This window comes from Homo sapiens, chromosome 14 (assembly GCF_000001405.40).
Source record: "Homo sapiens chromosome 14, GRCh38.p14 Primary Assembly".
NCBI classification, from domain to species: Eukaryota; Metazoa; Chordata; class Mammalia; order Primates; family Hominidae; genus Homo; species Homo sapiens.
Genome location: NC_000014.9, coordinates 71,531,769 through 71,555,921, shown reverse-complemented (window position 1 = coordinate 71,555,921; position 24,153 = coordinate 71,531,769). Strand labels below are relative to the sequence as shown.

General features: G+C 38.8%; 1 protein-coding gene across 54 annotated transcripts in view, besides 4 other annotated features; it reads right to left on the bottom strand.

The window, feature by feature from the left end:
- Window positions 1-24,153, bottom strand: part of SIPA1L1 (signal induced proliferation associated 1 like 1) — a 420,734-nt gene that overhangs the window by 185,288 nt on the left and 211,293 nt on the right. The gene's annotated exons all lie outside the window — the stretch shown is intronic.
- Window positions 300-359: an enhancer, noted in NCBI's record as "active region_8678". NCBI's record gives its function as "activates an Ori minimal core promoter by ATAC-STARR-seq in GM12878 lymphoblastoid cells {active_cell/tissue: GM12878}" and the evidence as "EXISTENCE:reporter gene assay evidence [ECO:0000049][PMID:35858748]".
- Window positions 470-529: an enhancer, noted in NCBI's record as "active region_8677". NCBI's record gives its function as "activates an Ori minimal core promoter by ATAC-STARR-seq in GM12878 lymphoblastoid cells {active_cell/tissue: GM12878}" and the evidence as "EXISTENCE:reporter gene assay evidence [ECO:0000049][PMID:35858748]".
- Window positions 690-749: an enhancer, noted in NCBI's record as "active region_8676". NCBI's record gives its function as "activates an Ori minimal core promoter by ATAC-STARR-seq in GM12878 lymphoblastoid cells {active_cell/tissue: GM12878}" and the evidence as "EXISTENCE:reporter gene assay evidence [ECO:0000049][PMID:35858748]".
- Window positions 5,428-5,587: an enhancer, noted in NCBI's record as "active region_8675". NCBI's record gives its function as "activates an Ori minimal core promoter by ATAC-STARR-seq in GM12878 lymphoblastoid cells {active_cell/tissue: GM12878}" and the evidence as "EXISTENCE:reporter gene assay evidence [ECO:0000049][PMID:35858748]".

The following is a 24,153-nucleotide window of genomic DNA, read 5'->3' as shown; positions in this document are numbered from 1 at the left end:
CTTTTGGGGAATGCCACAAACTGCACTCACAGAAGACGGCAATCAATCAACAAATGTCAAACAATCAACAAATGTCGTTTGAGTTCTGACTGCTCCACCCACCAGCCATTCCCCATCTGCCTCCCTCTCTTTGGGCTCTCTAGTCTCTGAGACCACAACACTGAAATTAGAATGGCCTCTAAGTTCAAGCGAAACTTGAAAGTGAAAGGAAGAGTCACAGGTGTCTCATTTTAAATCAAAAGCTAGAAATGATTAAGCTTAGTGAGGAAGACATTTGAAAGTTGAGAGGCTGAAAGCTAGGATTGTACCAGTTAGCCAAGTTGTGAATGCAAAGGAAAAGTTTTTGAAGAAAATTAAAAGTACTACTGCAGTGAACACATAAATGATAAGAAAGCAAAACAGCCTTACTGCTGAGATGGAAAGTTTTAGTGTTCTGGAGAGAAAGAAGATCAAATCAGCCACAACATTCTCTTAAACCAAAGCCTAATCCAGAGCAAGGCCCTAACTCTCTTCAATTCTATGAAGGCTGAGAGAGGTGAAGAAACTCAGAAGAAGAGTTAGAAGCCAGCAGACATTGGTTCATCAGGTTTCGGGAAGGAAGCTGTCTCCATAACATGAAAGTGCAAGCTCACCAGCAAGTTATCCAGAAGATCTAGCTAAAATGATTGATAAGGTGACTACAATAAACAACAGATTTTCAGTATAGATGAAACAGCCTTCTCTTAGAAGAAAATGTCATCCAGGACTTTCATAGCTACAGAGGAGAAGTCAATGCCTGGCTTCAAAGGTTCAAAGAACAGTCTGACTCTCTTATTAGGGGCTAATGCAGCTGGAGACTTAAAGTTGAAGCCAATGCTTATTTACAATCTGAAAATCGTAGGGCCCTTAAGTATGCTTTAAGAAAAATAAGAGGTATTAATTTTTATAAAATGTGCTCATTAGCTACTGGAAGAGTGAAATTGTTGTTTTTTTTTTAAATTAGGAATATGTATCGAGAGCCTTTAAAATGCTTACATACTTTTTTTCCCAGTTATTTTATTCCTGAGTATTTTTTAAGGAAACAATTCAAAAGACAAAATTCTGTGCAAAAAAAGGGTTCATCACAGCATTATTTAGGATAGCAAGGAGCTATAAACAACCTAAATGCTCCCAAACTATGTTTATAGCAATAAATATTATAAAAAGTGTGGTAGCCCAAGTGTAGCAGATCAGGGGAACAAGAATGAAATTCCCAAAACCTCACCAAAAAATTTTATGAAGAATCAAATCACAGGATGTTGTAATTTGTGAACTGTTATCTTTTTCTTATCAATATAGAAGTTAACAACAACAACAACAAGCTCTCTTTATACAGAAGGTCACCTGTGGGAAGTGTTACTCAAGAATGCTGAGAACATCTTCGGTTTCACAGTGGGGCAGAACTGACAGGGAGCTAAAGACTGAAAGCAACAGAAAAAGAACATCTTTTCTCACCAGCCTACATCAGAAAAGCAGATACATTTTTTTAACTTTCTTCTTTAAAAATCTTTATATTTTTTATTTTTAAGTCTGTGGTGTTTAAGTTGCACGATTTTAAGGTCATCTGCTTTTAAATTCAATATCATGGCTTCATGTGTGCAAAGAAAGCAGTAATACTGTTTAAAAAGAAATGAGGAATCTAAACTTCCTTAAATTAACATTTGAAGGTTTGAGCACAGTGAAACCAAGGTTCAATATCAAGACATTAATTTGTTCAGAAAAAAAAATACTGTATCTTAAACAGAAAAAAATCTCTAAACTACCTTTGCTGAACAGAAATAACGTATCAGTACCATGTTCCTACAAACTAACAGAAGATGCTACAGGTCGTAAATATTAAGAAAGAAAACTTTTTTCTCTAATTTTATATTCATTCTTGCTACATTTGAAAGGACTGAACGGAATATTCCATTCAGATAGGCCAAAGTTCAAAGTCTGTACCTGGATGAGGACATGAATTTCAAACACAAACCACAATCTGAAAAATAGTCTGTCTCTAGTTACTTTATACAAAACACTATGCTAAGGTCTCAATTTAAGAAAGCTGACAAGAATTGCATTTATTCAATGAATCAATCAGTTCTACACTAAAAACTAGGTTACATACATTCTGATATTTGTTTTCTATATGAAAAAAAAAGAATTGTATATGATGTAGAGTAGCCCTACCTAAACAATACAATGGGATCTCTGAAGCACAGAAATCTATAAAATGGGTTCAGGCCAAGGAAAAAGTCTCCTTCCCTACACATTCCTGGTATATTTTACCTTATCTCAGAATATCAATTCACAGGTCTGTTCAAATTATACTGTTAGCATTTCCTAAGAAAAAATAAGCTCTGAAAAACATGCCTTTCCTATCTTGACATCCAATTAAAACATTCAAACTAATACCCTATTTGGCTGACTGAGGTAAGGAGGAAGAGAAGAGAGGAAAAAAGAATGCAGAAGCAAAATGTTTTTTCCTCTTCTGTCATTACTGTTTTTAACTTAACATGTCTCAAAGTGTTTAGCTCCATGGTGATGGGAGCAGGCGAAAAATATAGAAACACTGAAAGAACAAATTCCCCCAGAATATTTTAGGGTTCCTAACACAAAGTGTACTGTGGAATTATAGAAACATACAAGTTGAAAATAGATTCTTATAACTTAGTAATGGTGGAAGATGAACAATCTTTCCTTATAATAGCTTTTAAAAATCTGCTACATTCACCCCACCAAAAAAGCTGAGCCAGATTTCTATCTGATTTTTTAAAAATTATTATCTCTCAGTATAAAGGAAATAGAAGAAAAAGTATTCATTGCTTAGAAGAGTGGATTTCAACAGGGGAGACTCTGCCCTCCAGAGTGACACTAAGCAGCATTTGGAGATATCGGCAATCTGAACTGAGGAGGCGCTATTGGCATCTCGTGGGTAGAGGCCGGGGATGCAGCTGAACATGTAATTCCACAGCCCTTCACAACAAAATTATCTGACCCCAAATGCCAGAGTCCTAAGGTTGAGACCCTGGTTTAGAAATACTTTCGACACTGAAATGTGCAGATTTATAACCACTCAAGTTCCAAAAGACAGTCCCTTAGGTCAAAGTAAGGAAGGAAGGCTCCAAGGCACTCGGTAGTCCCCACAGACTGATGTATGGAATGACTGAACTTTCATACTAAGGATACAAACTCAAAAGCTGCTGCAGGAGAAAAGTTCAACCATTCAATAAATTACCAGCTTAAAAGAAACAGGATCCCAGCACTCTGGGAGGCCGAGGCGGGCGGATCACAAGGTCAGGAGATCGAGACCATCTTGGCTAACACGGTGAAACCCCGTCTCTACTAAAAATACAAAAAAAAAAATTAGCCGGGCGTGGTGGCGGGCGCCTGTAGTCCCAGCTACTCGGGAGGCTGAGGCAGGAGAATGTCGTGAACCTGGGAGGCGGAGCTTGCAGTGAGCCGAGATTGTGCCACTGCAATCCGGCCTGGGCTAAAGAGCGGGACTCCGTCTCAAAAAAAAAAAAAAGAAATAGGGTATGGGAAAATACATTTGTAAATAAACCTAAAATTTTAGCTAACATAAAATCAGTATAACCTATTAAATGAAGATAATATCAATGATATTCTGTACCTTTTGTGGTAGTAATAATAGCTATGGTACAATTAATTTCCACTTACTGGTTCTTGCTTGCTAAAACTTTCAAGATCTCAAAGTTTTAATTAAATGGCTTAGGATACATTTATTCTTTACTACAATTAATAATATTTTCTGGCCCTTGTTCTGTGAACTGTCCTAAAGCCTGGGGAAAGGATGGCGGGTACAGCAATCAAAGCCATCACTCTTGAGGGGCTTACAGTCTAGTAGGGGAGAGTGAGAACAAGCAAATCAATAAACAAGATAAACGTCAGATGGCTAGAAGTGCCATGCAGAAAATTAAAATATAGTAATATGATCAAGAGTGGCTGGCTGGCTGGCTACTTTAAACTGATTTGGTCAAGGAAGGCCTCTTTGTGAAGTAGTCATTTAAGATAAGATGACTAAATGTCATGAAGGAATCAGTAACACAAAGCATGAATGTTCCAGGCAGAGGGAAGAGCAAGTGGAAAGACTCTGGGACATGAGCAAACAGCGTGTCCAAGGTAAAGAGTGCCAGTGTGGCTGGAGGGGAAAGGGAAATGACCCAGAAAAGAAAAGACAGATGGTGTGGGGCTGTGAGGAAGCTTGCAGGGCCTGGTATGGGGTTGGACTTTAAGAGCAACATGAAAGGTTGCAGGTTCCACATCACTGTCTCATGACATAACGCAGCTCAAGATCAAACCAGCTTGCATTAAGGTGGGATCAGCAGAGATGCAGAGAAGCAGACAGAGTTGGACACTTTTGGTAGTAGAGCCAACTAGGCATACTGATGGATTAGATGTGGTTAAGAAATATGTTACTGATGGGTTTAGAAAGAGATGAATCAGGGATAACTGCTGAATGCTTAGCTTGAGCAACTGGACAGATGATTCTCCCAAGGAATTTCAAGTGAGACAGAAACAGGTTTAAGGACTATAAATAGGGAGACTAGCCATCCTGGTTTGCCTGGGAAGAAGAGGTTTCCTAGAATGTGAGACTTCAGTGTCAAAACCAAGAAAGTCCCAGGAAACAAGGATGAGCTCATTACCCTAGACACACATCAAGGTTTTTGTTTTGTTTTTCAGCTCACTACAGCTTCCAATTCCTGGGATCAAACGATCCTCCCACATCAGCCTCAACTGATTTGGTCAAGGAAGGCCTCTTTGCAAAGAAGTCATTTAAGATGATATGACTAAATGACTAAATATCATAAAGGAATCAGCTACACAAGGCATGAATGTTCCAGGCAGAGGGAAGAGCAAGTGGAAAGACCCTAGGATATGAACAAACAGCGTGTCCAAGGTAAAAAGTGCCAGTGTGGCTGGAGAGGAAAGGGAAATGACCCGGGCACTAGCTGGAACTAGCTGTAGCTGGGACTACAGGTACATGCCACCATGCCCAGCTAATCTTTATTTTTTGTAGAGATAGAATCTCGCTTTGTTGCTCAGGCTGGTCTCAAACTCCTGGGCTCAAGCAATCCTTCTGCTTCAGCCTCCCTAAGTGCTGGGATTGCTCATAATTCTTTGTTGACCATGTTAAATTAGTGATGTCTATTGGACATAAAGGTGGAAATATCAGAAAAGTAATTGGAAATACAAGTCTGAAGAGTTGGATAAGCAGAGTTAGGAACAAGAGAGGCATACAGAGGATATTTCAAGTCATGCAACTAGATAACATCGCTTTGAGAGAGAAGAGAAACCAGCCCAGAACGGAGCTGTCTTTCTCTTTTTCACAGATAATATACTGAAAGACATCTGCCTCAGTCTGGTTCTCCATCAACACACTCACTGCCCTTCAGACTTGAACTCCATGTTTTGACTCTCACTTTCCAGATCTTACCAGAAAATCAGAAACACCAAGTAAAATTCACATTTCAGATGTTTTCAGTGAGCTAACAAACTGCTTTGCTTATAACTTCAGCTCTAGACTACTCCACACTATACCTTTTCTGAGGTCCTCTCCTAAGAGTCACAGAGAAACCCAGCTGCATGGAGCAAGTTTATTGTCCATCATTTCCCTTTGGCTTTTTTAAACTTAAAAAAAAATTTCTGTTTTTGAGACAGTGTCTCACTCTGTCACTCAGGCTGGAGTGCAGCAGCGTCATCACAACTCACTGCAACAAACTTCTGGGGTCAAGTGATCCGTCCACCTCAACCTCGCAAGTACCTGGGACTACAAGTGCACGCACCAACACACCTGGCTAATTTTTTTGAAAATTTTTTGTAGATACAGGGTCTCGCTGTGGTTTCCAAGTCTTGGCTTCAAGTGATTCTCCTACCTCAGCCTCCCAAAGTGTTGGGATCACAGGTGTGAGCCACCACACCCAGCTCCCTTCGCCTTGTCCAAAGCTTCTTTGCAAAGAAATCCCACTATTGCTACAGCCAAATGATTGGCCTCATTTTTCCTAATCCCAAGCAGTACTACTTCCCCACTTTTCTAATTATCTTCAGCAAGCATGACCGTCAACTTCCGCAATTAAAAAAACCAAACTCTCACTATTGAGGAAGAAATACATAAGAAATGGAGTCAACAAAAACTCTCTGAGGGCAAGTTTCAGTTGAGAGGGTCCCACTGTTCAGCACATGAAGAGTCTAACAACCTTTGCTTCAACTTAACTGGGTACATTGGAATTTATAAAAAGGAACAATTACCAGAGTGACCCAACAGATGGCCCATTAAACTCTGGGATTCGTACAATGTGTCTGGTGACCTATTTCAAGGAACTGGTTAGAAACCTCCCAATTGGCCAACTTGTGATTAAAAATACGAGATGTTTGCAGCTGACCTTCAAATCTAACTCTTTCTGGCCAATCTAGGCAGAAATAATAAGAGAATAAATAAAACATCAGAAATAATCAAAAGAGATCCTGGGACTTGGAACGGCTGTCAGCAGAATTACTTGGTTCACATATGGGACAGCTCCTTCTCTGTGAGGGCAAGCATCATGGCTAGGGAGAACAAGAAATCTCGGCATTTAAAAAAGAAAAAAAAAAAGGTAGTCTCTTCCCTAGATGATGAGGTGAATGAAAAGGTAGAATTCCAGAGACAGGCAATTAATGGGAATAAATTACACCTAGTAATCCCGATCTACTGATAAATGGACCTGTCACTGTGGGCCCCCTGGAAGGCCAAGGGAGCCACCAAGGTCACCCTTGAAAAACGCATTCCAAATCTTTCTCCAGCACTTAAAACCACTTAAATGCTGAATTATTTTAAACTCTTATTAAGTTTAATAAAAGTGAGGCATTTTTATCATATGTAAGGAAAAGAGAAAAAGCAGACTTGGGTTTAAAATTATAAACAATTAATAGTAACCTCTGAATTGATAAGGCTTAATTGCTCATAGTCAAATAAACTTTAAGCTATATCTCACTATATAAGCATGCCTTTTCATTTCACTTTTTTTTTTTTTTTTTTTTTGGAGACAGTCTCCAGGCTGGAGTACAGTGGAGCCATCCCAGCTCATTGCAACCTCTGCCTCTCAGGTTCAAGGGATTCTTGTGCCTCAGCCTCCAAAGCAGTTGGGACTACTGTCGTGTGCCACCTGCGCTCAGCTGGTTGTTGCATTTTTACTAGAGACAGGGTTTCACCATGTTGCCCAAGCTGGTCTGGAACTCCTGGCCTCAAGCGATCCGATCACCTCGGCCTCCCAAAGTGCTGAGATTACAGGTGTGAGTCACCATGTCCGGCCTCATTTCATTTTTATACTAAATACCACATTTACTTTCTTAAGAATATTAGAAATGTAAACATCCTAATGTAAATTACACTTAAAACACTTATTTTTCTGTTGATTCAAAGTTGATAACTACATTTTTAAGGCACACGTAACATTTCCATGCACACTGATTTTATCTGATATCTAAATATGATCACCACACTCCTCCCCACAAGGATATAAATAAAAAAAATCTACTGGTGATAAAAGACAATTTATCTTTCAAAATTATTTCAAATTTTGTAAATGATAAAAATTTAGTAAATAAAACGCTGACAGCAGACTTCATTACACAGTTGAGTTTAAAGACTTCTGACCTTACACTTAAGCAAAATTAAGCTATATGCCCTCATATTTAATGGATACTAAGTAGCACATGTTTGCCTGAAAGAAATACATAATTCAATTTGAAAAAAATTAAATGCCTTTGTTTCACCTTCATTCCAATGAAATCACTAAACAATGCCTCACATAACCATTACATTTGCAATAAGGCATTGTTCATGGTTTTATAATTTAATTATCTAAAAATAATCACTAGTTGGTACCTGCTCAAAAATAAAATCTATTCTGTGATGTCATTATGGCTTTACAAGAATAAGCAGAGCTACTGAATAAGAGAGGCAAGGGATTCTTGTGCCTCAGCCTCCCAAGTAGTTGGGACTACTGTCGTGTGCCACCCGCGCTCAGCTGGTTGTTGTATTTTTACTAGAAACAGGGTTTCACCATGGCAAACAAAAATGGAGCAACAGACATTGGTTTGGGTGAAGAAATGGAATGAAAAACCCAAGACAGGAATCTTGAAGTGCAGCTCACGAGCATCTGTTATTTAAGGAAAGGGTCTGCTCTGGGTACAGTAGCAAGTTAGAGAGTCATCCTACTGTCCAGCAGCGTGGAAGGAAAGAAGCCCCCCAAAGGAATAGTTGAACAAAATAATTATTATTTGAACAAAATAATTATTCTAGAAAATTAATACAATCCAAAACTATTTTGAGGTCAGGCACAGTGGCTCATGCCTGTAATCCCAGCACTTTGGGAGGCCAACGCGCACGGATCACCTGAGGTACGGAGTTCGAGACCAGCCTGGCCAACACAGTGAAACCCTGTCTCTACTAAAAATACAAAAATTAGCCGGGTGTAGTGGTGCACACTTGTAATCCCAGCTACTTGGGAGGCTGAGGCAGCGGAATCACTTGAACCTGGGAGGTGGAGGTTGCAGTAAGCCGAGATCATGCCACTGCACTCCAGCCTCGACAGAGCGAGACTCCATCTCAAAAAAAAAAAAAAAAAAAAAAGTTATTTTCATATTAAGTGACGAATCTTATGAATCTATCCAATAATGAAATATAAGACACATATGAACAAAAAATAAAAGTTATTCAATTAGTTCATTCATTCAAAAACATTTGAGTTTCTAACACATATAACATTCCATAGAATTTCTAAAAATCAGGACAAACAAGTTACTACCACCAAGAGCTAAAGAGCTATTAGGGGAGCTCTTTACACAAAAATTACATAGGGTACAAGGCAATAAGCACCACAATATAGTTCTGACAACTACGCTTCTGGCTAGATTTGGAAATTGTGGCATGAAAACAATTGAGAAGAGGTATAATCACATGTGAAGGAAAAAAAAGAAAACCGATCCTCAATCTTGGATGACTGCACAAAAGGAGCAAAAATAAGTGGTACAATCAACTCCTTCAGTAGGCCTTTTCACTGACCCTCACCAGATCAAGTGAGATGTCCATTCCTTCCAAAGAGGTCCAAGGGAAGCATCCATTACTTTCCATGCTTTACAGTGAGCTCTTTAAGGACAGAGACCATGTTTCATCAACTTGTATAGCTTCAGATACTAACACGGTTAGTCATATTGTACCTGCTCAATAAATATTTGATAAATAAGAATTCATTAAAAAAGGAATTCATTAAAAGCAAATGAATGCAGGCCGGGCACGGTAGATAACTTGATGTCAGGAGTTCGAGACAAGCCTGGCCAGCATGATGAAACCCCATCTCTACTAAAAATGCAAAAATTAGCCAGGCGTGATGGCGTGCACCTGTAATCCCAGCTACTTAGGAGGCTGAGGCAGGAGAATTGCTTGAACCTGGAAGGCGGAGGTTGCAGTGAGCTGAGATTGTGCCACTGCACCTGCACTCCAGCCTGGGGGACAGTGCGAGACTCCATCTCAAAAAAAAAAAAAAAAAGAAAGAAAAAGAAAAAACAATACAGAGAGAAGAGAGTAAAAGAGAAGAAGCTATGTTCGCAAAAGTAGAAGAGCCAAGGGGAAAAAGCAACAAGTAACTGCTTGGAAAAAGAGGCAGAAAACAGAAAAATGGGAGTAATGCAGTAACATCACAAGCACAAGAAAGCTTAATATGTAGATTGAACATTGTGAACTTAAAAAATAGGAGCTCACAAAATTATAGGGCTTTAAAAGCAGAAGCCACAGTGTAAAAAACCTAAGTATGAGACTTTTTCTCTCTCTCTTTTTTTTTCCTGAGACAGGGTCTCGCTCTGTTTCCCAGGCTGGAGTGCAGTGGGACAATCCCAGCTCACTGCAGCCTCGAACTCCTGGGCTCACCTTTTGCGACAGCCTGGAACTACAGCCATGTGCTATCAATCCTGGCTAATTTTTTATTTTTTGTAGAGATGGGTTCTCACTGTGTTGCCCAGGCTGGTCTTAAATTTCTGGACTCAGGCAATTCTCCCACCTCAGCCTCCCAAAGTGCTAGGATTATAGGCATGCACCACCATACCCAGCCAAATATGAGACTTAACAGTGAAACAATGAATACTTTTTTCTTAAGATCAGGAATAATGCAAGATGTCCATTTTCACTACTCCTACTTAGCACTCCACAGCAAGTTCTAGCTAGTTCGATGGGCCAGAAAAAGGAGTTTAAAAATGTATAAAGATGGAAAAGGAACAAATAAAACTGTCATTATTAACAGAAGCAATCATGATCACATATGACAACTACACACACACACACACACACACACAAATTAGAACTAGCAACTGAATTTAGGAGGTTTGCAGGATATCAGGTCAATACACAAACAGCAATTGTTATGTCTGAGTACTAGCAAGTGAACAACAAAATGGAATTTGAAATACACTACTTAGAGGATCACAGAAAATCCAGTATATCTAATGAAAATCTATATCTAATGAAAGATGTACAAAACATCTATATTGAAAACTACACAACACTGCTGAGAAGTTAAGTGAAGAGGTTCGTAAATGGAATACTCAGTATTATTAAAATGTCTATTCTCCACAGACTGAAAAACAGTATCAATGAAATCCCAGTCAAAATCTAATTGGCTTTTATTTATTTTTTTAATGACAAATGATTCTAAAATTTACAGGGATATTCAAAGGATCTATAATATACAAAGCAATTAAAAGGCAAGAATGAGGCTGGGTGCAGTGTCTCATGCCTATAATCCTAGCATTTTGGGGAGCCAAGGCAGGAGGACTGCTTGAGTCCAGAAGTTTGAGACCAGCCTGAGCAACATAGTGAGATAGCACCTCTACAAAAATAAAAATTAACTGGGCATGGTGGTGTATATTTGTAGTCCTAGACACTTGGAAGGCTGAGGCAGATAGATCACTCAATCCCAGGGATTCAAGGCTGCAGTGAGCTATGATCATGCCACTGCACATCTCTAAAAAATAAAAATTTAAAAAAATATAAAGTTAGAGAACTTAATTACCTGATTTGAAGCCTTTATAAAGCTACAGTATTCAAGACAGTGTATAATTGACTTAAGAACAAAGAGACCAGTGGAACAGAAGAGACTCACACGTATATAGTCGACTGATTTTCAACCAAGAACTAACTCAGCTCAATGGGAAAAGAACAGTATTATCAACAAATGGTACTAGATAGAAACAGGAAAACAGTGCAAGTAAACCTTAACAGTTGTTTCATTTCACACTCAAAAAAAATTAGAGATGGTTTATCAACCTAAAAGTAAAAGACAAAACCCTAAAGCTTCTCGGAGTAAACATAGGAAAATATCTTCCCAATATTGGCTAAGCAGATTTCTTAGGTAACACATAGTACAGCGTTAACCATGAAAAAAACTCAAGAAATTTGACTTATTAAACTTTTTGTTCATCAAGAGACATCGTTAAGAAAATGAACAGGCAAGCTACAGACAAGGAAAAGTATTCATAATATACATATCTGACAAAGAAATCATATATACACATATGATACATGTATATACACACACATGATATATGTATATACATATATGTATATACACACATGATATATATGTATATACACATATGTATATACACATATCATGTGTATATACATATGTGTATACATACATGATATATGTATATACACATGCATGTGCATACATGCATATGTATATATACACACACGTGCATATATGTACATATACACACACGTGCATATATGTATATACATACACGTGCATATATGTGTATATACATACATGTGCGTGTGTATATACATACATGTGCGTGCGTGTGTATATACATACATGTGCGTGCGTGTGTATATACATACATGTGCGTATGTGTATATATACATGTGCGTGTGTGTATATATACATGTGCGTGTGTGTATATATACATACATGTGCGTATATGTATATATACACACATATACGTATGATATATGTATATATACACACATATACGTATGATATATGTATATATACACATACGTATGATATATGTATATATACACATACATATGATATATGTATATATACACATACATATACATACATTATATACATATATAATCTTACAAATCAGCAATTAAAAGACAACGAAGATAATTTAGAAAAACAGTCAAGACTTGCAAAAGACACTGCAAAAAAAAAAAAAAGAAAAAAGTTACTGACCGCATGAATGGCCAATCAGCACATAAAAAGATGCTCAAAATCAGTCATCAGGAAATAGCAAATTAAAATCATAATGAGATACTATTAAACACCCAGCAGAAGAGCTAAAAGTTCATTTAAAAACTGATAATACCAAATACTGGTAAGAAATGTGGAGCAACTGGAACCCTCATGAATTGCTGGTGCAACTATAACATGGCACAGCCATTTCAGAAAAACAGTTGGGCAGTTTCTTACATAGTAAAATATACATCTATCCTATGACCCAATTATTCTCTTCCTAGGTATCACCCAAGAGAAATGAAATTCCATGTCAACAAAATGACTTGTACAAGAATGTTGATAGCAATCTTATTCCTAACAGCCAATAATCAGAAACCCAAATCTTAAAGGACAACTAAGACCTTTGCATTTTGTTGGATATATAATACCCAAATTTAAAAAGAACTTTTAAGAATTAAGAATAAAGATAAAAAAGAGTGATGGGGTAATTCTCCCACTCCTTCACTTTTTGTGACATACTGGAAGCAAGAAGAGAGAGAATGGAAAAGATCTGAGAGTGGATGGGGCAGTGGGTGCTGGAGAGGACAGGAAAGAGCCAGAGAAGATTTACAGACACAGAAAAAGCATGAAGAGATGAGGAAGGAGGAGTAAGTGCAATGACACAATTAGAGAATTCACATCCCAGAGAAGAGAGGGACTGGTAAAGACAGAACAAAGACGTTAGCTACAGAAAAGAGTAGGACTTCATAAAAGTTGAGAAACATACAAAGTTAAGAATAGAACACAGAAGAAATGAAGGGGCAGGGCACAGAGGATCATGCCTGTAATCCCAGCACTTTGGGCCAAGGCAGGAAGGAGGATTGCTTGATCCTAGGAATTCCACACCAGCCTGGGCAACATAGCAAGACTGTATCTCGTAAAAAAAAAAAAAAAGAGAGAGAGAGAAGAAGGAGGAGGAGGAGGAGGAGGAGGAGGAGGGAGGAGGAGAAGGGAGAAGGAAGGAGGAGGAGGAGGAGGGAGGAGGAGGAGGGGAAGAAAGAAGTGGAAGAAGAAGGGGAGGAGGAGGGGGAGGGGGAGGAAGAGGAGGAGGAGGAAGAAGAAGGAGGAGGAAGAGAAGGAGGAAGAGGAGGAGGAGGAAGAGAGGAGGAGGAAGAGGAGGAGGAGGAAGAGGAAGGACGACGAGGAGAAGAAGCAGAAGAAGCAGAAGCAGAAGCAGCAGCAGCAGCAGGAAGAAGAAGCAGAAGCAGCAGCAGCAGCAGGAAGAAGAAGCAGAAGCAGCAGCAGCAGCAGGAAGAAGCAGCAGCAGCAGCAGCAGGAAGAAGAAGAAAGAGGAAAGAAGGAGGAGGAGGAAGAGGAAGAGGAGGAAGAGGAGGAGGAGGAAGAGGAGAAGAGGAAGAGGAGAGGAAGAGGAAGAAGAAGAAGAAGAGGAGGAGGAGGAGGAGCCAGGCATGGTGGTGCACACCTAACTACTTGGGAGGCTGAGTGGGGAGGACGGCTTGAGCTGGAGCCCAGGAGTTCAAGCCTGCCAGTGAACTACGACTGTGCACTGTACTCCAGGCTGGGTGATAGAGTAAGACCCTATTTCTAAAAAAATAAAAATATAGAAATAAGGAGTTGGGGGACTGGGAAGTAAGTTCATTCTCTAGCAGGTTGGATCCATGGTCGTGCCATTGATTTCCTCCTGTCCCTTAACCCCAAAGTCAGTAAGTTATTACTGATCCTTACGTGTTTTAGAATTCCTTTGTGCCATCCAATGGGAAATATATGGAATGGGGAGCCTTGAGCTATTACTGTGCAATGGCTACAATACTTATCTAAAAATAATGACACAATAACTGGCACTAGAATCTCTGTTTTGAATGATGTATGCATTGTGTCAACATACCTTAATGTTTCTGTTGCTGTTGTCAGAGACAGAGTTTCACTCTGTCACCCAGGCTGGAATGCAGTAGCATAATTATAGCTCACTGCAGCCTTGACCTTCTAGACTCAAGTAATCCTCCTGCTTCAGCCTCCCAAGCAGCTAGGACTACAGGTGTGTGCCAACATGCCCGGCTAATTTTTATTTTTTAATTCTTATTTATGTAGCGATAGGGTCTCACTATGTTACCCAGGGTGGTCTCAAACTCCTGGGCTCAAGCAATCCTCTCACCTTGGCCTCCCAAAGTGCTGGGGGATTATAGGCATGAGCTGCCGCTTCTGGCTGAGATTAACTTTTATAGAAAGAAACATGCACTGGCCCATCTGTTTCCTGCTCTTTGAATGACTTGTTTTGCTACTTTTAACAAGTAACTATGCATTTGGGTCTTTATTTACTTATCCTTAAAGAGGAATTGTTATAGATATAATAAACATTAGAATCCTTACATTAGTCAATTATTCTAAAAATGAAACATGCCCTCTTGGTTAATGTACTCATCCATAGGCAGAACTTAACATTTAATAAATGATCCAATAAAGGAACTAACTTAACCTCACATGGAGCAGCAAATTATTCTCACCAGAAGGAGAGAGAAAAAATTATCTTCCATATAGCATAAATAAGTTCTTCTTCTTTTTTTTTTTAAAGATGGAGTTTCGCTCTGTCACCCAGGCTGGAGAATCTTGGCTCACTGCAACCTCCACCTCCCGAGTTCAAGCAATTCTCCTGCTTCAGCCTCCTGAGTAGCTGAGACTACAGGTGTGTGCCACCACGTCTGGCTAATTTTTTTTCTTTTTAGTAGAGTTGGGGTTTCACCATGTTGGCCAGGCTGGTCTCAAACTCCTGACCTCAGGCAATCCGCCTACTTGGACCTCCCAAAGTGCTGGGATTACAGGCCTGAGCCACCCTGCCCAGCCAGCATGAATAAGTTCTGATTAATGCGTTACAGCTTGGCTTTCTTTTCACTGTATATTTGAGTACTTTTTTAAAACACTACATGATTTTGCCCTAATTTCAAACAATGTCATGTCTAAATAACCATCTCTCTTGGAGGAGGAAAATTCTGTTCTAACAAGAGTCAGAATGTTTTCAGCAGTGAAACTGCTTCCCTTGTCACTGTATTCTTTTTCTCATTCAGCAAAGACATCACTTCCAAGACAAATGACACAACCTTTTTTTTGTTTGTCCTAGCTATAACACAGCACTTTTTATTTAGTTTTAAAATTTTTTAAATTTTATTTTTCGTAGAGATGCGGTCTTGCTATATTGCCCAGGCTGCTCTTGAGCTCCTGGCTTCAAACAATTCTCCCACCTCAGCCTCCCAAGGTGCTGGGATTACAGACATGAGCCACCACCAGGCTTAGCTGTACTTTAAAAAATCCAAAATTCCTAAAAACAAATTCTGTGAATCAGTTCTATCAGCCTTTGATGGTATTTTGATTTCAGTATGCACTGGAAATGAAGGAATGGACATGAATTCAGAAATGTCCCTCTAATCATGCAGTCTCACAACAGAGGCAGGATCAGCCCCGCTCTTCCCCTCAGAGGAACTAGCTGCTGACAGCAAGTGATTAGTGTTCTGAAACAATTCCAAGGGGCTTGTCAATGTAAACTATCGGCTGCTATAAGAAATGTCAAATCTCCATGATAAGGTATTTTTAGAGCTCCCCACCAGAGTCAACACAGGTTTACTATAAAATGCGAGAGAGCATTTCTGATGAGGAGTTGCTGCCAGTGCCGAAGCATTTCTCAGCCTGCTTCCAAATGTGGATGGCATCGTCCCACTGGATGAGGCGCCTGCTCAGATAATGTCTTGCACAGAGGCAGGCAGCTTCTCTTCACCCTTAGGGTGTTGCTGACAATATAGACAATAGTTCTGCTTTCTAGCTACAGTAATAGATTTAATTACTTGGCTATTTTGGGAGATCGAGGAAGGAAATGCCCCCCTCCCCAACTCTTCCTGCACATTATATTTCCTGTAGTCCAGGTCACACATCTCTCCATGGGAAGAGCTCTTCAAATCAACATATACAAATTGAAAAGCCTGAGGGCAATGAGTTAAATCACAAAACAAAAAGCATTATTCTATATAAAAGCTCGACAAAGGCTACAAAATCCATCTGTCAGAGAAACAGTCCTCTCTGAATAAGAAGTTAGATTCAGACTCTCTGGTCAGTTATTTCTCATGTGGCCAAGAACTTCATGGTCACTGCCAAAAGAAATTTACTGCCATACATAAAGGGCAGTGATTCTTCAACTTCTAAATATTATGAAATACCAGCAACTCATTTTAATGCAATATATGTCATATTTGTTCAATGTGCAAATAGTTTTCCATTGGAAAAGTTCCAAGCTGGCCTAATCGAGAAGTAGCTATTCTCTGGAAACAGTATTGTCAAAAGCAGCCATTTCACCAATGGAGATCATGTAGTGAATAGAGAATATTTACACTAGGCCACACAAGCAAAGAGTAATATAGTAAAGACAATATTCTCCTCCATTTCTGACACTTCTACAGCTTATGAGAGAGTGTTTTTATATTCATTATCTCATTTTGGAAAACGGGCCAAGGAGCAGGAAGGACTGTAGAGAGCATCCTTGAATGGAGTGTGCACTGACTGTCCTCCAAACAGACCACATGGCTTTATAAAGGTCACAGGAAAAACAATGCGGCTCTCTGCTCTTGGAGGAAAAAACGAAGGAAATCAAAATGAGTGCATCTTCCCTTGTGCTGAAAAACAGTTGAGAAATACTAAGAAGCTACTTTGTAGACCACTGTGTTCTCCCAGATTTGAAAGCAACCCTGTATGACTGCAGTTAATGATGTGCACATTTAATAAACACCATCAAAACAAACAAACAAAAAACAGTCTGAAGAACAGACTGTAACTACTTAAGAAATCAGATTTTCTTTGTTTCTTTCTCTCCTTTTTCCTTTCTTCAGTCATTTATCAAGCACTGCAACAGAAATGGGACTACTTTGCCGTCTTGTATCCAGCAAACACCAGAAAACAGACACAAACTCCAAAAAGCACCATGACCCTGCATTTATCAAGCACTGCAACAGAAATGGGACTACTTTGCCGTCTTGTATCCAGCAAACACCAGAAAACAGACACAAACTCCAAAAAGCACCATGACCCTGCCGCTATTACAACCTTAGGAAGACAGTGAACTTGACAATGAAGCTTAGAGACCTGACTTGGCAATAAGGACAGAGAGATCTGAAACAGCAAACTAAAGAAGGCAGAAGAGACACACTCAGGAGTCCAGATCCCAATCTGCCAGACTACACACATTTAACCGCCTTCCTTGCAAAGGATGATGTCCCTGTGTACCAGGTGGAAGGATTATTCCTAAAGCAATTATTCCAAGCTGTGGCTCCATACCACCTCTAGAGGACTCCAAGAATCTCAAAGAATTTGGTAAAATTTCAGAACAAAATTTTATTTCGGCTAATTTATGGAAGACTGAAGAAAAAAAAAAGTAAGAATAGTTAGAAATCACCTCGCTGGGACCAATTCTTACCTTAAAACCTGAAGGGAAAATAACTTCTCACTCCTTTTGAGAAAAAGGGAGATCTTAGTGTATAACAGTAGGGAAGAAGATTCAATTATTAAAAATAAAAACTGTTCAAATTATTTCATAGCCTCTTCACAGAACTGATGAAGGAGGAATTCATCTGGTAAGAAATTAGAAAGGAGAGAGTGAATCTTTTTTTTCCCCCTGCAGTTAACAAATCAGCAAGTCAGTCAAACTCTTAACTGACTATGCATTATAAAAACAAACACTGACAAGCTAGCTATTGCTCAAATGCCATCCTCAGACCCTGATGAGAAAATGGCAGTTACCTGGTCCAATTCAGGGTCACACAGAAACAGCTAAAGGAACAGTGGCAGATTTTACTTTTTAAGACTACAAATTCCTCACCTGAACTCTTTTTCTCTCTCATTTTCTTCCCAAATCTGGCCCACAACTTCATTCTTTACCTGAACTTGATTTTTACTACCATCCTCCACTTAGAAGAAAGTAAAACTTCTCTGTCAAGGGAGAAAAAAAAAAAGAGAGAGAGAGAAAAGGAAATGAAGATGCAGGGGAAAAAAGATAGCCCACTCGCCCACACTGAAGGAATGAGAAGGAGGAATGGGAGGCCAACTGAAAATACTTTATCTAAATCCTCTGAAAAGAGATTACACTGGAATTGCTTATCTAAAATAAAAACCTATCAGTCTGTCTTCGTGTAGAAGTAGTAAACTTAGCCAGGATTGGTGGCTCATGCCTGTGATCCCAGCACTTTGGGAGGCTGAGGCGGTTGGATCACCTGAGGTCAGGAGTCCGAGACCAGCCTGGCCAATATGGTGAAACCCTGTCCCTACTAAAAAAAATACCAAAAATTAGCCGGGCCTGGTGGCACACGCCTGTAATCCCAGCTACTTGAGAGGTGGAGGTGGGAGAACCATTTGAACCCAAGAAGTGGAGGTTGCAGTGAGCCAAGATCGCGCCACTGCACTCCGGGCAACAGAGCTAGACTCTGTCTCAAAAAAATAAGTAAATAAATAAAAGAAATAGTAAACTTAATAGAATCAGCAGCCCAAGGATAAAGAGATCATGTTGTAACTTGGTAAGAATCCAAGAAGTAAATAAACAGGGATGTCACTACCATTAGGGCTGTGAATAGGTAACTGAAATAAATCTAATGAGAGCTGTGCAAGAAAACCAACCCATGCACAACCCTAACATTGTGCATAAGAAGACAAGAGTTCAGAACTATTGCATATGACCATACAAAATCTAAATATTCCATAAAAGAAAAACAGGCAAGAAAGAAACAACTGCTACTTATTAATATTTTTTAACAAGTTAAAATTTGCGTATCGCTTCCTTCAGGTATTTAAATGCTAAAATCTCAATGTGATGCTTAAAATTAAAAACACATTATAACGCCAGAGAATCAACATTTGAGCATTTTCCAACAATACAACATTATAATTTAAAACTTGGCAATATTCGCCTAATTTAAATCAGTCTCTCAATGGAAGGGACTGCAACTGCAGAAGTGAAATCCAGCAAGCTACTGTTGTATAACCAAAAGATCTTCCAAGACAGTGCTATGTTCTTGCTGCTGACATTAACAGCTGCTGAAACACATTCTTTTTAAAATCATTTTCTTCCAGGGGTGGAGTTTCCAAAAGAATTCCAGGCTAAAATCTAAATAGACACTGTTCCAAAACTGAATGATACCACAAAATGCAGACTTCCTTTAAAACAACTTTTACACTCTTTACTTGGAAGAGAGGGCAGAGGACAAAGCTCTCATCATTTGCTCTGTTTATACCACAATGGCTTCAAGACAACAAACTGTGGGGATCATCACTGACCAACTGGTTGAAGTACATTATTGCTCATAGAGAAAGCTTCTGTTAAGCATAGACACTTAAAAGAAGCCCATTGGAAGTTAAGAGGGTTGTGGCATACTAAGTTATCCTGAGCATCAGAGAAGGAAACCAACAAACAAGCACTCGGAAGCCATCAAAACAGCACAAAGGACAACTACTTTCATATCCAGGGAGATGACTGTTGCTTACATAAACCTTTGTAGTGTAATGATTTGAAAGCCAGACTCTTTTTTTTTTTTTTTTGAAAGCTATTGTAAATTGAAGGATGAGAGAATGTTAGTGGAATAATCAGAGATCTTAGCACAGAATTCCTTAGATTTTACAATGTAGCATTGTTAAGTTACGTGAAGCTGCCGTAGGATGGCAAGGCAACAGACAGAAGAAGAGGGACATCAGATAAGATGTAGCAGGGGACAGATACACTATGTTAAAAACCATTTTTAAAAATCTAGAAGGGACCAGGTGCAGTGGCCCATGCCTGTAATCCGTGCATTTTGCGAGGCCCAGATGGGCAGGTCACTTGAGGCCAGGAGTTTGAAAACAGCCTGGTCAACATGGTGAAACCCCTTGTCTACTAAAAAAAAAAATTAGCTGGGTGTGGTGGTGCATGCCTGTCATCCCAGCTACTCGGGAGGCTGAGGCAGGAGAACTGCTTGAACCTGGGAGGCAGAGGTTGCAGTGAGCTGAGACTGTGCCACTGCACACCAGCCTAGGTGACAGACTGAGACTCTGTCTCAAAAGAAAAGAAAAAGGAAAAAAAAAAAACCTAGGAGGGATTCTGACATTCAGTTATCCCTTGATAATAACCACATGCAGCTTCTGGTGACTTGACTTTCCTATCTTTCCATCAGAGGAGCAGAAGGCATTCCTTTTAAAAGTATGTTATTATTCTACTCTTTCTATATAGCAGCTCATTTTATATTATCCCTTCACTTAAGAATCAAGAGGAAAATTCATGCTTACATAGAGAAACATGCCCTGCATAAGAAAAACACTTCCTAAAAAATCAATGGAAACAAAAGTCAACCAGAATAGGGCAGTTACTCCTTCAACAGGTGCTTTCTTTTATCTTAAATAAAATGAACACAGCTAATAAATACTTCCAGTTTAGAAGACACTAAGTCTAACACACACCATACATAGGTATTTAAGAGTTTCTAGCTGTCATCATCTCCAGCCAGTCCCTTATTAATTGTTGGCATAGGGTCCCCCTGCCCCTTCTCAATGGTGTGCTCTGTGTTCTGTGAGAACCTATTATTAGCCTATGTTAGTAATGGCCACTTCTGGACGGTAAAATTATAGATGGTTTTCATTTTTGTCTTTATGTTTACCTGCATTTTCTACTTTTTTACCAGTATGTATTATTTTTGTAAGTTACTTTTAACATTTGTTGAGAATAGTGTATTAAATGAGATTTTCCTTGATGCTCTGAACGAATACAACTGAATGTTATTCCAAGTGATCATCAAAATACAACTAAAGGATCAAATTATAGTAACAATGAATGCAGGATCTTGGCCTAAATCTTTACGATCAACAGACTCTATACACATGCAGAACAGATGAATGTACATTGGCTTCTCCATCTTTAAATTGAGGCCACTGCATAGTAATACAATGGGGATACCATCAAATTTAGGGAGGGAGCCAAATATTCAGATAGAAATAGAGACAGATGGTCTCTCTGCACACACTGTTTAGTAAAGCTTTCCATTTTACAAAGGGGGCACCTAACTCCATAGGCCAGACTAATTTTATTCAATTGGTTTGTGAAGGAAATTTTTTTTAAAAATGAGGTTGGGAAGCTCTTTCATCAGGGATTACCATTCATTCACAAAATTGGGAAAGCATCTGTTACTAGATGGAATAAGATATAATCACGCATAAAACTCCTTTAGATATTTTCCTACCCATTAAGAACTCTAGAAGTCTTGATTGAGGTCTTACAGCACTGCACCCACAAACAAAAGATATTTGCTGCCACGAATAAATAATTTACACGAGTTAATCTAGAAGCCATAAAGTATTGTTAAATTCCCACTAAGGTCAACCTTTCATGCCCCTCCATTTACATATTGGCTAATGACCCAATTATTTATACAAATGCAAACCAAGGGTAATGAGGTTGGGTGATTTGTTTTTGGTACTAAGGCATGGTCTCTTGGCTTACAATTGCCAAAATAGATTAAGTGAAAGGTTAACTGGGTACTAAGCAAGTTCTGTGACAAACAGGATCACAATTCTTAGAGAACTAGCACTCTTTTCTTATTTTTATTTTTATTTTTATTTTTATTTTTATTTTTTGTAGAGATGGGGTCTCACTATATTGCCCAGGCTGGTCTCAAACTCCTGGCCTCCAAGCAATCCTCCCACCTTGGCCTCCCAAAGTACTGGGATTACACGCATGAGTCACAGCACTCAGCCAAACTGGCACTCTTTGTAAACACAGCCTAAATGAAGGTTTTTGTAATTTATATTAGGGAAAAAATATTCACCTACCCACCTAATGAGGAATTTTATCAAGGGTACTGACTGATGAAATATTTTACCAATCAGTTTTTTAGAAACTCACTCTAAAGTCTTTCAATTTAACTCAGCATATGTTCTAACAATTTTATAATTTGAATATGTGATTTTCAACAACTCCAAAATGAAAGTGGCAAGGTCTGACAAATAGCAATGCCCTATACTAACAAAGACAACCTGAATCACAAGCATGTGCATGTACAACCGCAGACACAAAATGGCAGTTATGCCTTCACAACACAAAATTACATAGTGATCTGTGGCTTTCTTCTACTTACTGCCAAAGACGCATTCCTCTGAGATGCCTGCTCACATATATTCCAACATGAAAATAAGGGTTTATTCACATATTAAAAAGCCAACTCACATTACAAGTTGAAAATTTGGCCTTTTTGCTGCTGAATGAATAAATCTGCTTGTCCTTTTTAGAGCAGACACAGCGCTGGGAAAGAAGTGCTGGTAAAGACTCCTAATAAATTATCAGAAAAAAATGAAAAAGGGTACTCTAGGAAAAGTCTTCATTTTATGTCTATTCCTAAGTGACTTATAAATGCCTTCAACTTTAGAATATAATTAAAGTCTTGTTATAAAGTAAATTGAGACAAAGTAAGAAAACTTTTGATTTGATTTTTTAAAAATAAATGGAAACACTGTCAACTTACTACTTAGCAAACACACCAAAAAAATGACTTTCACCCACTTCATTGCCAGGTACCTAACAGGTCTCAATAAGTCTACGACCCAACATTTTCGAAAGGGAAGAGAGGAGTATCATATTTCCATTCTAAATACTGAGATACTGATTTGTGAGACTAGTTAGGAGGAAGCAAAACAGATACAATATGTTTCCAGGATTTCCCCTGCCTCCACCACCCTGTAGAGGTTAAGCAGAGGCTACAGATGGCAAGACAGGTCTAAAAGGTCTGAGTGGAGAAATAAACGGGAGCTGGAAGACAGGCCACACTTCCTACCTTCTCACAAAGGAAAATAGTATGGGAACCATGGAGGAATCTCCTAAAACTGACCCATGAGATCAGAACTGCTTACAAATGTCAAATATTCCACTGCTTTTCATTCTATCCAGGGAAAAAAAATTTACTTTCATCAGTGTATACGTACCCTCTATAATACTTTTAAAGAACAAGTCTCCTTTTCTAATTCTCTCAATTACAGAGGAGTACAAAACATTTAGTAGCATTCTGGATAATTTGTGCCAATTTAGATGATTCATGTAGTATTGCTTTTCCAGACTAAATGGTCTATGGCCAGTGCTTTCAAGTCAACAAGGGTGCGGAGAGCAAGACCTAATTACAGATCTGAGTCAGTGTCTAGAAGCTCCCTCAGCCCAGGGGGCCGTTCCCCACAAAGGCAGCATTTCATCTGGCGGTACAAAAACAAGCCAAGTTTTTGTACCACTTTCCATATTTACACAAGTCCTTTTGTATGCCATTAATATATATACAAGTCCTTTCATATATAAGAAAGAAGAAGACTCCATTCCACAAGAAACAAACAAAAAAGAGTAATATCAGTTCACCGAATTGATTTTTCAAAGAAAATTTTCAATAGGCTTTTCCCCTTAAAACCCAACTATAACATGCAGATTTTTTAAAAAAGAAAATGCACACAAAACATATTACACAACAACCAATACATTCACAAAGTGTAAGATCTTCAAACAATTTCAACAAAAGATGTTAATGTTTTCCTTCCTGTAACATGGATATAATATGTATAAATTAAAGGGGAAAAAATCTTTTGAGTTCACTTTTTTTCAAATGTTAAACATTTAAGTAAAAATGGCACCCAGAAAAAAAAACAAAACAGAAATTATATTGTTGTAAATTTTTCTCTGATACTTTATCAGTAATTAGGTTCTCAAGTTGAAAGGATTAATGATTTTTGAATGGAACTGACTATTCAGTTTCATGGAGGCAACATTCCAAGCAAGAGCAAAGGGTAACAGGACTCCCCCAATAGTAAGGGAATTAGTTTTTTGAATGCAAAATTTAAATGACTTAAGATTCATTTCAGGCCAGGCATGGTGGCTCACATTTGTAATTCTAGCACT